General features: G+C 41.6%; 1 long non-coding RNA gene across 7 annotated transcripts in view, besides 1 other annotated feature; it reads right to left on the reverse strand.

Annotated features, from left to right (window-relative positions):
- SLC44A3-AS1 (SLC44A3 antisense RNA 1) overlaps nucleotides 1-16,542 on the reverse strand; it is a 203,881-nt gene that overhangs the window by 136,429 nt on the left and 50,910 nt on the right. The window lies entirely within an intron of this gene.
- Nucleotides 5,213-5,507: an enhancer, noted in NCBI's record as "tiled region #2553; K562 Activating non-DNase unmatched - State 24:Quies". NCBI's record gives its function as "activates a minimal TATA promoter and a strong SV40 promoter by Sharpr-MPRA in K562 cells {active_cell/tissue: K562}" and the evidence as "EXISTENCE:reporter gene assay evidence [ECO:0000049][PMID:27701403]".

The following is a 16,542-nucleotide window of genomic DNA, read 5'->3' on the forward strand; positions in this document are numbered from 1 at the left end:
GTAGCGTGATGCCTCCAGCTTTGTTCTTTTGGCTTAGGATTGACTTGGCAATGCGGGCTCTTTTTTGGTTCCATATGAACTTTAAAGTAGTTTTTTGCAATTCTGTGAAGAAAGTCATTGGTAGCTTGATGGGGATGGCATTGAATCTATAAATTACCTTGGGCAGTATGAGTCTTGCTCTGTCGCCCAGGCTGGAGTGCAGTGGCACGACCTCAGCTCACTGCAACCTCCGCCTCCTGGGTTCAAGCAACTCTCCTGCCTCAGCCTCCAAGTAGCTGGGACTACAGGCACACGTTACCATGCTCGGCTAATTTTTTGTATTTTTAATACAGACGGGGTTTCACGGTGTTAGCCAGGATAGTCTCGATCTCCTGACCTTGTGATCCACCCGCCTTAGCCTCCCACACTGCTGAGATTACATGAGTGAGCCACAGCACCCAGCCAGGATGGTGACTTTTCTAAATTATTTTGTGCTAGAAGTTCTTTATGCTCTACATTTCAAATATTCTGCCGTATACTTAGAACAGATGAGAGCTTTGGTCCAATCAAACATGCTGATTGACAGACAGGACACAGTGAACCTGCACACGGTGCTCTGTTTCCATTTGCCCTCTGTTTCATTATTCTACTTCTCTTCCAAAGCCTGGCTCTATGTTCCTTCCTTTGTGATTCTCCCCTCTCAGAATGAATCACTCCGTGCTTCCTTGGTCGCATAGTGTACATTTCTTTTAAGAGTTAATTGAATTTTTTAAGGTCAGACATGTAGTCCTTAAATATGGGCCTGTCCTAGTCACTAGAAAGCAAGCTCTTTGTGGACAAAGTCTGTCAGTTTTTTAAGAGCTTGCAGTAAGTGCCTTTATGAAGTGGCTGCCCAGCCCATAATACCCTCCTCTGAGAACTGCCTGCTCTGTCCACAGCAGCATGCTCCTTTCAGCACCTATGCTTGAGCTATAAGATCTTGTTCTCTGAGCTGGGCCAGAGTCTCTTCCCCAGAATTTGGAATTGGGGTAGAGCCATGATCTGGCTGTCTCTTGGCCCCTTGCCCTGCACACAGGCCATTCAGGCACTGTCGGGTGGCTGACCTGGTGAAGGTCAGCATGCAGGGAGAGAAGGCAGCCAACTCAGGGAGAAGCAGAGCAGGAAACAAACAACACTCTCAGGACTCCGGACACACCTCAGTCACCCTCTGCCTTGGGTGGCCTGAGATTCCCCTAATCCCTTCCAAACATCCTTTCTTTTCTGCCAAAGCTCTTTTGAAGTGGCATTCTGTTATAAGCCACCTGAAGAGATTTAATTTTAATACTTACACGACCACAAACCAACTTATACCTACTATTTTCAGTATTCTTATTTTATATTTATGCTTATTTTAATTATTCAGAATTCCTTTGTGAATTTAGTACAGCCATTTCCAATGGCAAATCCACATCAACTGCTTCTGTTTTTCCTTAAAGTAACAGCAATGCTGTCTTTTCTTGTCAGAGTGGAAACCACTGACGGAGGATGAGCTGAGCTGGATTTCCAGTAAGAGGGAGGAAAGGAGGCATCTCTTCCTATCTTGAGACATTGAGGCAAATATTTACACTTAGAAACGAAACCCATCCTGAAGATAAAATGTCTCAAAATTTCCCCATTTGGAATTGTTTTCTTATATTTTATCTAAATTCTACAGACCTTAACTCCAGTTAAAATCAGAAAAAATCAGAAATCTAGAGAAAATCAGAAAACAGTTGTTATTGGTCTCTCACATACATACAAGCTATCATTAAGGTGCTGTTTAACCCTTTGTTTCCTAGGCTAAATAACCCCATTCTTGGCCTTCACCCTTCATCGTCTTTTTGGCATGACCCAGACTGGAATCCAGTTTGCTCTTCCATTCCCTGCTGCTTGCATCCTGCTTGATTTCCACATTAAAACAGGATGTTGATAAACCTTCTCTTTCCTCCTCCCAAATGTCTTTAGTCACTTCTCTGCCCTCCCCTCCGTTCTCTCTGTCACTTCCAAAGTTCAAGCGCTCATGAACTCTTGCCTGTGTTTTATAACTAACACCTCTGCTCTCTCCTGTCTTCCTGCATCCCACATAGAACTGCTGACAAAGATGCCCTCCTTCACCAATGCGTTTTTCTAATGCCTAGTCATGATTATAACATTCCCTTGCTCAAAACCCTTCCCTCTTGCATATAAAATAAAGTCTCAGCTCTGTAGTCTTGCATTCACCCCACATTCTGCATCAGCTGGTCCAATTAATCTCCCACTACACTACCTTTGTGCTTCCTATGGTCCAATCAAGCATGCTGATTGACAGACAAGACACAGTGAATCTGCACACGGTGCTCTGTTTCCATTTGCCCTCTGCTGACTTTCATTATTCTACTTCTCTTCCAAAGCGTGGCTCTATGTTCCTTGCTTTGTGATTCTCCCCTCTCAGAATGAATCACTCTGTGCTTCCTTGGTCACACAGTGTATACTTCTTTTAAGAGTTAATTGGAATTTTGGCTGGGCGTGGTGGCTCATGCCTGTAATCCCAGCACTTTGGAAGTCTGAGGCAGGTGGATCACAAGGTCAGGAGTTTGAGACCAGCCTGACCAACATGGTGAAACCCTGTCTCTACTAAAAACACAAAAATTAGCCAGGCGTGGTAGCATGCACCTGTAATCCCAGCTACTCAGGAGGCTGAAGCAGGAGAATCACTTGTACCTGGGAGGTGGAGGTTGCAGTGAGCCGAGATCGCGCCATTGCACTCCAGCCTGGGTGACAGAGTGATACTCTGTCTCAAAAAAAAAAAAAAAAAAAAAAAGAGTTAACCAAAATTTTTAAGGTCAGACATGCAGTCCTTAGATATGGGCCTGTCCTCTTCACTAGAAAGCAAGCTCTCTGTGGACAAAGCTGGGCCCTATACCGCCCAGTAAGCTCCAGGTCCCTAATGTAATGTATGGCAGGCAGTGTGTGATCTGTGAATACTGGTTGAATCAAGTTTGAAAAAACATACGTATCTGCAGGCAAGCTGTGGGTCTACACGGTTTACTCTGGTCATGTGACTACTATTTCAGAAGATCCATGAGGTCAAATGACTCAGCAAAATTTTGCAGGCCAAATAACAGGAAATCCGAACTTCAAAAGCACACTCCATTACCACTGATCTAAAACACATGTGCCTGGAGATCCAGTGCTGGAGCTGGGGAGATTTTCTACAGCACACACCAACCGACTGCCCGCAGCCTGATACTGGGCCTCCAGGAGGGACTGATAAACCACAGGCTCCTCCGGTGTCTGGTCCCCCAGCAAGGGCACTTGCAAAGCCTGCAGATCCCTAAGCATGCATACAGAGCTTTGCCTCCCTTTTCCAAGAATTCTGTCCGCCTAGACTTTCCAGATCATCAAGACCTGCCCCTACAGACACTCAAATTTTTAAAAGTAAAATCTATTTTGATAAAACATATTCCAAAAGGAATACAATCCCACAATTCCCCACCTCCTTAAGACCTCTTCTTGATAGATCCAGGCTGACATCAGATATATTAATTGCTGTCTTTCGCACAGGATTGCCCATCCTACTACTGGAGAGGTAAAAATCATTGTGCCCTCAAATAAAAATTACCACAATAATAATAGCCAACATTTATGAGCACTTTCTATGTACCCAGCACACTAAGAGTTACTCTGCATATATTGTTTCATTTTTGCTTCGCAATATCCCTAAAAGGTAGGTGTTATTTTTCCCATCAGTTTCCAGATGAGAAAACCAAAAAGCAGTGAGGTTAAGTTACTTGCCCAAGGTTGCAAATTAAATAATGGAGACAGGCCCTAACCGAGGCCGTTGGGCCCCCAAGCCCACACAGGTAAGCCCTCCACTCTGCTGCCTCCCTAGGTACAATGAGCCTGAGGTACAATGACCAGCTGGTCCCAGGACTTTGCAGGCTTTAGCACCATGAAACACCAGGAAAAGCTGAGAGTTGATCATCCTCGCTTGAAAGCTGGAAAGCACTCCGCTAGAACCCTTGGCTTTTATAGGCCCTGTGCTCCTCTCCAATGGTCCATCCCTATCCGTTGAGGATGGGGAAGGAGGCCCTTTCCCAAGCAAGTCAAACTGGTTAAGTCCAGGTCTCTCTCTGCAAGGTCAAAAAGAGACACAGGGGCTCCCTAAGACAATTAATAATGCAGCTCTTTGGCCGGGCACGGTGGTTCACACCTGTAATCCCAGCACTTTGGGAGGCCAAGACGGGCGGATCACAAGGTCAGGAGATCGAGACCATCCTGGCTAACACAGTGAAACCCTGTCTCTACTAAAAATACAAAAAAATTAGCCAGGTACGGTGGCAGGCGCCTGTAGTCCCAGCTACTCAGGAGGCTGAGGCAGGAGAATGGCGTGAACCCGGGAGGTGGAGCTTGCAGTGAGCCGAGATCATGCCACTGCACTCCAGCCTGGGCGACAGAGCGAGACTCTGTCTCAAAAAAAAAAAAAAAAAAAAAAATAATAATAATAATAATAATAATAATGCAGCTCTTCTTTAAAGCATATTTGTTCAATACTAGTGGGAGTGAGAAACTTCTATGAGTAAAAATCATGCTTTTTCTTTATATTCAAAATGAGAGAATAGTTGTATACACTTATTATGGGCAATTTTCTAAACCATTCTATGTATATTAAGGCATGTTAAAGAGCTAATTATTTAGATAACGAAAGGGAAAGGAAACCCCTCCTTCCCAAGAAGCAGCATGGCACCATGCATTATTTGGTGTCACCTGTCAGCAAACCACAATGTGACTCTAGTCTCCGGTGTGGATGCAGGTCTCGGGGCTGAGGCTCTGCCTGCAGTTGTGCCCCATTATTTGTTTGGAAATGTCACAAATAGGAATGCTTCCATGAGAACCCTGACACCAGGAACTTAAAGGAACTGCTTACTTGCACAGGAACAGCTCTAGGCAGAAACCTGAGTTAACTGACACTGCGTTTCCAGTTTATTCCAGTGTGGTTTTAGTGCTCCTTCAAAACTAGTATCCCAAGCAGTGTCCATAAGCCCCAGAGACTCCCTCTTTAATTTGCCTGGGTCTGCTGGCCTGAGAAAAGTAACCGGGCTTTGTCACCAGTCTTTTCCTCAAAGACCTTTTCTGAAATCATCTGTGGTTGGGGAGGCTGAGGTTAATGGCAGTCTGGTCCCCAGAAAAGTGGGGCTGCTGTCTTTGGAGAGTGTTGCTTCCATATGACATTAAGTGCTCCTTTGAGAGTTCAAGGTTAACTTCCAGACAAAACAAACAAGGCTTTCTGCCTTGTTTGCATCTGCACAAGCTGGGACATTGTCTTGGCAGGAAGACTCAACGGTTTAGGGAAGGACAACAGGCAGAGGAAAGCTGATCAGCCTAATGGTAAGATTGGCCCTGCTCTGTCTCCCAGTGGCTCTCTGTTTATCTTGGACTCGCTTAGCAACGTCCAACAGGCTGGACGGAGCCATTCCCTGGAGGGTTCCTTGAGCCTACGCATCTCACAAGCCTCCCCCAGAGGGATTCCGCAGTTCCAAGAAGGGCAATGGCGTTTGAGGGGGCAGCTGGGTTACTCTTCAATGAACTAAACGACTCCTTTAGAAACTACAGACCAAATAGTATGAGGGTGCCTGAAAAGAGGAGTAATAAACAACAACAAAAATATGTTCCATGGAAAATTATAAAGGCATTTTTAAAGGACCCTGGGGCTCACATTTCTGTTCATTTTATTTTATTTTTAAAATTTTTTCCTTAAATTTAACTATTTAGGAAATTGATTTTTAAAACCACAAGGTCAAGATATTTTCCTCCTTCAAAACCAAAACCGAACCTAGTCTGTTTTCTTTCAAAGGAAGTTCACAGCATCTCCGTGGAGAGAAGTGGTCACCTTGCACAGGCATCTCAGTGCTACTTTGTCTCAATCTCCATACACAAAACAAAAGAGAAAAACCTGCTCACAGAATCTAATTTATAAGAATATAAAAAGAAGATGCAGACCAAAGAGGATAGCCTCAGAAATATTAAGCTGTTTTCAAAGTAATAAAATCTCATGTCAAACTAATAAGATCAAAACCAATCACAACTTCAGAGTTCACTTGTGTAAAGGATTTAGCTCCAAAGCATTGATGACATCTTTAAAGTTAAAATATACCCAGCTGCATGGAGTGGCTCACGCCTGTAATCCCAGCACTTTGGGAGGTTGGAGCTGGCAGATCACTTGAGCTCAGGAGTTTAAGACCAGCCTGGGCAACACGGCAAAACCCCATCTCTACTAAAAATACAAAATTTAGCCAGGCATGCACACCAGTAGTCCCAGCTACTCAGGAGGCTGAGGCACGAGGATCACTTGAACCCAGGAGGCAGAGGTTGCAGTGAGTCAAGATCATGCCACTGCACTCCTGCCTAGGCTACACAGCGAGATTCTGTCTCAAAAAAATAAAATAAAATAAAAATAAAGTTAAAATATATAGAATTGATGGCCTCTTGCACATGGACATACAGAGAAAAATCTCTAAAAGCCTTGTTCTTTGGCCCTTTGCATTCAGTTTAAAGCAAATTAGATACAGTAGAGACTCATTCACATATTGTTTACATATTGCAAACTTTCCTACTCTCTAAAATGTATTTGCAATCCCAAAATCTATACTTGTGGTCCTTTCAAGGTCATTAGCAAACACACACCAAGCAGCAAAAAATTTCAGTTACCCATCACACTCCTTCCTAGTTGATCTTAAACAAGAAAATTCTCTGCCTTCTTGTTTCAGCTGTCATACTGTAAACTGGGATCCTTTTCACAGTCTATTTAGTGCAAGCTTTTTCATATTTCTGTGCTTTTTCTTGGTGATTTTGCTGCTTAAAAGTGTCTCCAAAAAAAAAAAAGCCTAATTCATAGCAACAGAGAACAAAATGGTAATTGCCAGGGGTGGGGGACAAGGAGCAGGGCAAATGAGAAGACATTGGTCAAAGAGCACACATTTTCAGTTATAAGAGAACAGGTAAGTTCTGTGGATTCAATGTACAGCATAGGTAATGACAGATGTATTAATTTTGTTTTGGTAAGCATACACAAGCTTCAGTAGCCAATTTGTTTAAGTGGAAGAAAGGATATCAGTGATTGAAGATCAAATTAATGAAATAGAGAGAGAAGACAAGATTAGAGAAAAAAGGGTGAAAAGAAACAAACAAAGCCTCCAAGAAATATGGGACTATGTGAAAAGACCAACTCTACGTTTGATTGGTGTATCTGAAAGTGACAGGGAGAATGGAACTAAGTTAGAAAACACTCTTCAGGATATTATCCAGGAGAACTTCTCCAACCTAGCAAGGCAGGCCAATATTCAAATTCAGGAAATACAGAGAACACCACAAAGATACTCAAGAAGAGCAACCCCAAGACACATAATTGTCAGATTCACCAAGGTTGAAATGAAGGAAAAAATGTTAAGGGCAGCCAGAGAGAAAGGTCGGGTTACCCACAAAGAGAAGCCCATCAGACTAACAGCGGATTTCTCGGCAGAAACTCTACAAGCCAGAAGAGAGTGGGGGCCAATATTCAACATTTTTAAAGAAAAGAATTTTCAACCCAGAATTTCATATCCAGCCAAACTAATCTTCATAAGTGAAGGAGAAATAAAATCCTTTACAGACAAGCAAACACTGAGAGATTTTGTCACCATCAGGCCTGCCTTACAAGAGCTCCTGAAGGAAGCACTAAACATGGAAAGGAACAACTGGTACCAGCCACTGCAAAAACATGCCAAATTGTAAAGACCATTGATGCTAGGAAGAAACTGCATCAACTAATGGGCAAAATAACCAGCTAACATCATAATGATAGCATCAAATTCACACATAACAATATTAACTTTAAATGTAAATGGGCTAAATGCTCCAATTAAAAGACACAGACTGGCAAATTGGATAAAGAGTCAAGTCAAGACCCATCAGTGTGCTGTATTCAGGAAACCCATCTCACGTGCAGAGACACACATAGGCTCAAAATAAAGGGATGGAGGAAGATCTACCAAGCAAATGGAAAACAAAAAAAGGCAGGGGTTGCAATCCTAGTCTCTGTTAAAACAGACTTTAAACCAACAAAGATCAAAAGAGACAAGGAAGGCCATTACATAATGGGAAAGGGATCAATTCAACAAGAAGAGCTAGCTATCCTAAATATATATGCATCCAATACAGGAGCACACAGATTCATAAAGCAAGTCCTTAGAGACCTACAAAGAGACTTAGACTCCCACACAATAATAATGGGAGACTTTAACAGCCCACTGTCAATATTATACAGATCAACAAGACAGAAGGTTAACAAGGATATCCAAGACTTGAACTCAGCTCTGCACCAAGCAGACCTAATAGACATCTACAGAACTCTTCACCCCAAGTCAACAAAGTATACATTCTTCTCAGCACCACATCACACTTATTCCAAAACTGACCACATAGTTGGAAGTAAAGCACTCTTCAGCAAATGTAAAAGAATAGAAATCACAACAAACTGTCTCTCAAACCACAATGCAATCAAATTAGAACTAAGAATTAAGAAACTCACTCAAAACCGCACAACTACATGGAAACTGAACAACCTGTTCCTGAATGACTATTGGGTAAATAACAAAATGAAGGCAGAAATAAAGATGTTCTGTGAAACCAATGAGAACAAAGACACAATATACCAGAATCTCTGGGACACATTTAAAGCAGGGTGTAGAGGGAAATTTATAGCACTGAATGCCCACAAGAGAAAGCAGGAAAGATATAAAATTGACACCCTAACATCACAATTAAAAGAACTAGAGAAGCAAGAGCAAACACATTCAAAAGCTAGCAGAAGGCAAGAAATAACTAAGATCAGAGCAGAATTGAAGGAGATAGAGACACAAAAAAAAGCTTCAAAAAATCAATGAATCCAGGAGCTGATTTTTTGAAAAGATCAACAAAATTGATAGACTGCTAGCAAGACTAATAAGAAAAGAGAGAAGAATCAAATAGACACAATAAAAAATGATAAAGGTGATATCACCAACGATCCCACAGAAATACAAACTGCCATCAGAGAATACTATAAACACCTCTATGCAAATAAACTAAAAAATCTAAAGAAATGGATAAATTCCTGGACACATACACCCTCCCAAGATTAAATCAGGAGGAAGTTGAATCCTTGAATAAACCAAAAACAGGCTCTGAAATTGAGGCAATAATTAATAGCGTACGAATCAAAAAAAGTCCAGGAACAGATGGATTCATAGCCAAATTCTACCAGAGGTACAAAGAGGAGATGGTACCATTCCTTTTGAAACTATTCCAATCAACAGAAAAAGAGGGAATCCTCCCTAACTCATTTCTTGAGGCCAGTACCATCCTGACACCAAAGCCTGGCAGAGACACAACAAAAAAAGAGAATTTTAGACCAATACCCCTGATGAACATCAATGTGAAAATCCTCAATAAAATACTGGCAAACCAAATCCAGCAGCACATCAAAAATCTTATCCACCACGATCAAGTCGGCTTCATCCCTGGGTTGCAAGGCTGGTTCAACATACGCAAATAAAGGTAATCCATCACATAAACAGAACCAACAAGAAAAACCACATGATAATCTCAATAGATGCAGAAAAGGCCTTTGACAAAATTCAACAGCACCTCATGCTAAAAACTCTGAATAAACTAGGTATTGATGGAACGTATCTCAAAATAATAAGAGCTATTTATGACAAACCCACAGCCAATATCATAAAGAATGGGCAAAAACTGGAAGCATTCCCTTTGAAAACTGGCACAAGACAGGGATGCCCTCTCTCACCACTCCTATTCAACATAGTGTTGGAAGTTCTGACCAGGGCAATCAGGAAGGAGAAAGAAATAAAGGGTATTCAATTAGGAAAAGAGGAAGTCAAATTGTCCCTGTTTGCAGATAACATGATTGTATATTTAGAAAACCCTATCATCTCATCTGTATATCTCCTTAAGCTGATAAGCAACTTCAGCAAAATCTCAGGATACAAAATCAACATGCAAAAATCACAAGCACTCCTATACACCAATAACAGACGAACAGAGAGCCAAATCATGAGTGAACTCCCATTCACAATTGCTACAAAGAGAATAAAATACCTAGGAATCCAACTTACAATGGATGTGAAGGACCTCTTAAAGGAGAACTACAAACCACTGCTCAACAAAATAAAAGAGGACACAAACAAATGGAAGAACATTCCATACTCATGGATAGGAAGAATCAATATCGTGAAAATGGCCATACTGCCCAAGGTAATTTATAGATTCAATGCCATCCCCATCAAGCTACCAATGACTTTCTTCACAGAATTGGAAAAAACTACTTTAAAGTTCATATGGAACCAAAAAAGAGCCCACATTGTCAAGACAATCCTAAGCAAAAAGAACAAAGCTGGAGACATCACGCTACCTGACTTCAAACTATACCACAAGTCTACAGTAACCAAAACAGGATGGTACTGTCACCAAAAGAAAGATATAGACCAATGGAACAGAACAGAGGCCTTAGAAATAACACCACACATTTACAACCATCTGATCTTTGACAAACCTGACAAAAACAAGAAATGGGGAAAGGATTCTCTGTTTAATAAATGCTGGGAAAACTGACTAGCCATATGTAGAGAGCTGAAACTGGATCCCTTCCTTACATCTTATACAAAAATTAATTCAAGATGGATTAAAGACTTAAATGTTAGACTAAAACCATAAAAACCCTAGAAGAAAACCTAAGCAATACCATTCAGGACATAGGCATGAACAAGGACTTCATGACTAAAACACCAAAAGCAATGGCAACAAAAGCCAAAATTGACAAATGGGATCTAATCAAACTAAAGAGCTTCTGCACAGCAAAAGAAACTACCGTCAGAGTAAATAGGCAACCTATAGAATGGGAGAAAATTTTTGCAATCTATCCATCTGATAAAGGGCTAATATCCAGAATCTACAAAGAACTTAAATAAATTTACAAGAAAAAACCAACCCCATCAAAATTGGGCAAAGGATATGAACAGACACTTCTCAAAAGAAGACATGTATATGCAGCCAACAGACACATGAAGAAATGCTCATCAGAGAAATGCAAATCAAAACCACAATGAGATACCATTTCACACCAGTTAGAATGGCGGTCATTAAAAAGTCAGGAAACAACAGATGCTAGAGAAGATGTGGAGAAATTGGAATGCTTTTACACTGTTGGTGGGAGTGTAAACTAGTTCAACCATTGTGGAAGACAGTGTGGCGATTCCTCAAGGATCTAGAACTAGAAATACCATTTGACACAGCGATCTCATTACTGGGTATATACCCAAAGGATTATAAATCATGCTACTCTAAAGACACATGCACACGTATGTTTATTGTGGCAGTATTCACAATAGCAAAAACTTTGGAACCAACCCAAATGTCCATCAATGATGGACTGGGTTAAGAAAATGTGGCATATATACACCATGGAATACTATGCAGCCATAAAAAAGGATGAGTTCATGTCCTTTGCAGGGACATGGATGAAGGTGGAAACCATCATTCTGAGCAAACTATCACAAGGACAGAAAACCAAACACCGTGTGTTCTCACTCATAGGTGGGAATTGAACAATGAGAACACTTGGACACAGGGTGGGGAACATCACACACAGGGGCCTGTCATGGGGTGGGGAGTAGGGGGAGGGATAGCATTAGGAGAAATACCTAATGTAAATGACGAGTTAATGGGTGCAGCAAACCAACATGGCACATGTATACCTATGTAACAAGCCTGCGCATTGTGTACATGTACCCTAGAACTTAAAGTATAATTTAAAAAAAGAAAAAAAAGTAAGTCAGATTACATAACCCTCTAATCAAAAGCTCAACAGCTTCCCATTTCACTATACAATTTGCTCCCATCTCCTAAAACGTCTGTCCTCACTTCCTACTATCCTTCCCCTCACTGACTCCCTTAGGTCCCACTAGAAGTGTTCCTAATACACACTGGGTCTCCTTCAAGTCCTTACTCAAATGTCACCTTGTGCATGAGGACCTCCCTAGTCACACTGTCACCCTGTCCTGCTTTATCTTCCTCCATAGCACTCCTCACCACTCAACATCATCTTAATTATTTACCTGGTTTATTTCTTGCCACTCCATACCACCACCTCCCTCACACACAGACAGTCCCACAGAACACATAGTCAATTGTTAGCTACATGAGGACAGGGATCTCTGCCGGTTTTACTCACTGTTGCATTCTTACTGTCTTAAACAGTACCTTGTTGGCACATTGAAGTTCATTTATAAACATTTGTTGAATACATGAATGGGAATAAATACTTTAGTTGAAGTAATATCATCTAGGGAGCCATGGGAGAATTTGAATCCAGGTCTTTTGCTCTAGCTTTTCTACCAAGTAATATCCATTAAAATATTTTCAGCTATAATAATAGAATACCCAAATAAAATAATGAAGATAAAGTACTATCTTACAAAACAAGATATTCTGAGGTAGGTGTTTTCATGGTTGATTACTTCAGTAGCCCAGTGATGGTATCAAGGCCCTAGGTGGGTTTTTTGTTTTTGTTTTCTTACCTTTTCTCATTGCCATCCTTACTTATTGTAGCATGTTGTATTTCTCAAAAAATGCCACACCTACATATTTATCTCATCGCACATAATTTTCACACAATGTGACTGGCAACTGACACTCCTCCCATTAAGGGAAGGGTCTGTGTTCTCTCTTCTCAAATCTAGGCAGGGGATTGTGACTGTCCCAGTCAATGGAGTGGGGCAGAAGTGATGCTATGTGACTCTTGAGGGTAGATCACAGAAAGGATACAGCTTCCACCTGGCTCTCTGTTTTCAGATGCTTGCCTCTGGAACTCAACCACCATGTTGTGAGGAAATCCAGGACACATGGAGAAGCCAACATAGAGAAAAGCTAAGGCCTCCCTCCAACGGGGAGCATCAGCTTGTCTGCCATGGAGTTAGCTATCTTGGAAGTGAGTCCTTCAGCCCCAGTCAAGCCTTCAGATAGTTACAGCTCCAGCCAACATGTGATTGTAACTTCATGAGAAATCTCCAAGCCAGAACTGCTCTCAAATTCCTGACTCACAGAAATCATGGGAGATTATTATTATTGTTGTTTTAAGCCACTACATTTTGGAGTAATTTGTCAGAGAGCATTGGATAAATAACATACTTTGCATATTGTCCTTGGGTTTATCCCTTCATAGTTAAAGCATGGCTTCTTTAGCTCCTGATAGCACATCATCTTTTCAGGTAAATACAACAATATTTTGGATACAGAATTCAATTAATCTGCATAGTTGACATCAAGAAACTAGTAACTTCTGAATCCAAATCTTGATCCAGGATTGCATCACTAAGAGCTACAGGACTGGCTAGATGTTTATACTCTTTTTAATCAAAAGCAGGAAGCTACTCTAAAATACTTGAGACAATTCACTTATCTTTACCACTAGTAAGTTCACGAATGAATTTCTGTTTGGAGCATCCACTATGCTAAGAAGCCACGGATTTCATCAACGGAAACCTATTTCTAACATTAAGTATGCCAGTTAGCAGAGCCTCTACCATTGATCATAGATAAAGGTCATGGGAGCTCTTGTAGTAGCTGCTTCTGGAGTACAGTTTTCCTAATTCGAATGCTGGCTCTCCACCCTAGGGTGCAAATTCCCAATTTGGGCAAATGACTGTACCTAAGGTATAATGTAACCCATAATACACACATGAGATCATGATGCTTGTGATGAAGTATATTCAGTTACAGACAGTTTTATACCCAACCTGGCTTTCTTACATTTAGTTCATTCTCACCTCCCCTTTCAAGCACTCTGTCAATCTCAGTATTAATTTTCTCTCACTTCTGAGGAGTCCCATCCACTCAAACACAGGAATGGGTTTCCTTTCTGATATTCCTGCCAGTATACGTTCCAGAGACCTTGTTTTGGCTCCTGTGTCAGCTCAGTGCTTGCCTATTTCCCAAGGAAGACAGTAATCCTTGTAGACAGTTCAGTTCAATCCTATATTAAAGAAGGTTCAAACCTATATTAAAGAAGGACATATGCTATATTTCTTTAACTGCCTCATAATTTGCAATTAGAGTCAGTAACTCTCATAATGGCTGAGGCTGCTTGGAGCCTGCTGGATTAAGACCAGGATCATATTATTTTTTAATGGCTGCCTTTTGGGTTTTACAAGAAAGACACTGAAAAGATAACGAATACATTACATTCCCATCAAATATCCATGTTCTCCTCAGTCTCCATCTGGGGATAGATAGGAAATGCCCTATTCTCTCAGTGGCAGACATCAGCCAAGGTTTATCAAGCCATATGGATACATGGGCATTTACTAAGGAAGGTGGAGATGCCAATAAAGCAGGGGCTATGAAGGTTAACCCCAGGAGAGAGCCTGGATTCCAGGCCACTGCTGCCAACACTGTGATCCTAAACATGCTCCTTAACCTTTCTTGGCCCCTACATTTCCTTTTCTATAAAACAAAAGGTCATGAGATCCCTTCTAGCTGGAGAGGCTATTTCTGGCTACCTAGAGTTGTCACTTCTGGGCAAACCTGGTATTGCTGCCCTCTTTGTTGTTTCCATTTTTTATTTCCCTCCTCCCTCCTTTTTTTCCACAGAGTACCTACTATGATCTCAGAACAGTCCCTGCCCTCAAGCACTTCTCCACCTAGTAGAGGACATAGCAATGATAATTATTATAATCATTATTATTTTAATGAGAATAAACACTAAAATGCTAACTGCCAATATTTACTGGGCTCCCACTATAAGCCAGGTATTATGCTAAGTGCTTTTCATGCAACAGCTCATTTAATTTAATTCTTGCAATACCCCTAAGAGGGATGAACTGTTATTCTACCAGTTTGTGTTTCAGGGAAGTCAAGTGATGCACCTCAAAGCCCATAGCTCTTGCCTGATAGAGCCTTTTGAACAAATAAAAAATCACAGTGCCACACGACAAGTGCTATCATACTGGCATGCACAAAAAGCAGTGAGCAGCTACCAAGAAGGAGAAAAAAAGATCCCTCCCTACATGAATCTGGAAAGACTCTTTGAAGAGGTATCATTGAAGAATAAGAGTAACTTTACCTGATGCAGAAGAATCTCATTGCAAGATTAGATTAACCCGTAACTTAGAAAGTGATGAAGAAATAATAAGTATCACTGTTTTCTAATAATATTACAGTAAAGGAGATGACTTGGGTTTTCATCTGGCTATGTGTTAATGTGGATGATGCACGTTTTTTCACAACATGCACGCATACAAAGATACCCACTTCATGGTTTCAATTATTGCTTCATTTCCTCCTTTGTGCTAAGTGATGCTGCCTATTTGTTGAAAGGGTACAAGAGTTCTCTTGTAGTCTTCTGCCTGCCCTTCCCCAATTTTCCAGTCTATGGGTTTGTTAATCATGTGGTGATTTTCCAGGACAAGAACTTGAAAGTACTCTACTTAAGATACGTTATAGAATAGATCAGGGAAAACCCCTTCACTTTCTAGGAACATTAACAGCTGCGTGAAGGCCTCAGAGAACTGTTCCCTCATTTAATTTCTGGCTTTGACTTATACCTAGCCACATATTTCAGAGTTTAAAAGTGTGGAAATGTGATGTTTTTCTGCTGAATATTCATGTCTTCTTTAGATAATAGGAACTCAGTTTTTCCTGGGGAACCACTTTTCCCCCAGTCTCAGTCCAAGGGCTTGAGAGTGGTTACCCCCGTCCTAGGCCTGGCCAATCAAGGTAATAGTCATGATCCATTCTGGGCTGCAAAGCATCAGCCTTGGAACTTTGCTTGGTCTTCTTTGCAGCAAATCTAGTGAGATATGAGCTTGGTACTACAGGTGCCCATCATTGCCACAGTTGAGTAGAGTCTACCGAAAATGAGGCTAACACAAGCAGCCTCCTGTGTGGACAGAGAGAAAGCAATGAAAGGCATTAACAAGCCTGAGCAGAAACACACTGTATTAGCCTCGTTCACTGCCAGAGGGGCCCCTGAAGGGGACACAGTGACACAGTATCTACTGATACTGCCCTTATTCAAGAGGTCAGTGCTGTCCTTCACCCCTACCTCATTCCCTACACCCTGGCTAGAATCTCATAACTCCTCCAACAACTTAAAATCACTCTCTCACCTTTGTGTTAGATTTCTGTTTCCAACTCTGCCCCTGTCCCCTGCCAAGACCCACCAGCCTCATGGCAGAGACATCTCTTCATGTCCCAGCAAGTACATCTGTGTGGTCAGTCAGGAACCCTCTCAGGGCCAGTTGCAGCCCTTCCATCACCAGGTGACCCTATCTTATGACCAGAGAGCCTTAGACTTTCCACCTTCCCTTGAGGCCCCACGGTCTTCATGCCAAAGAATAAGGTGCCAGGCTTCTCCCTGGACATCCATGGCCTCAATACTAGTGCTGTCTGAGACTACTGGCTCCTCACACCAACCCCCAATCTGCAGAAAAGCAGGTTGGGATGTCTGAATGAGTCTACATGAAGGATATTCCT

This window comes from Homo sapiens, chromosome 1 (assembly GCF_000001405.40).
Source record: "Homo sapiens chromosome 1, GRCh38.p14 Primary Assembly".
In the NCBI taxonomy this organism is placed as follows: Eukaryota; Metazoa; Chordata; class Mammalia; order Primates; family Hominidae; genus Homo; species Homo sapiens.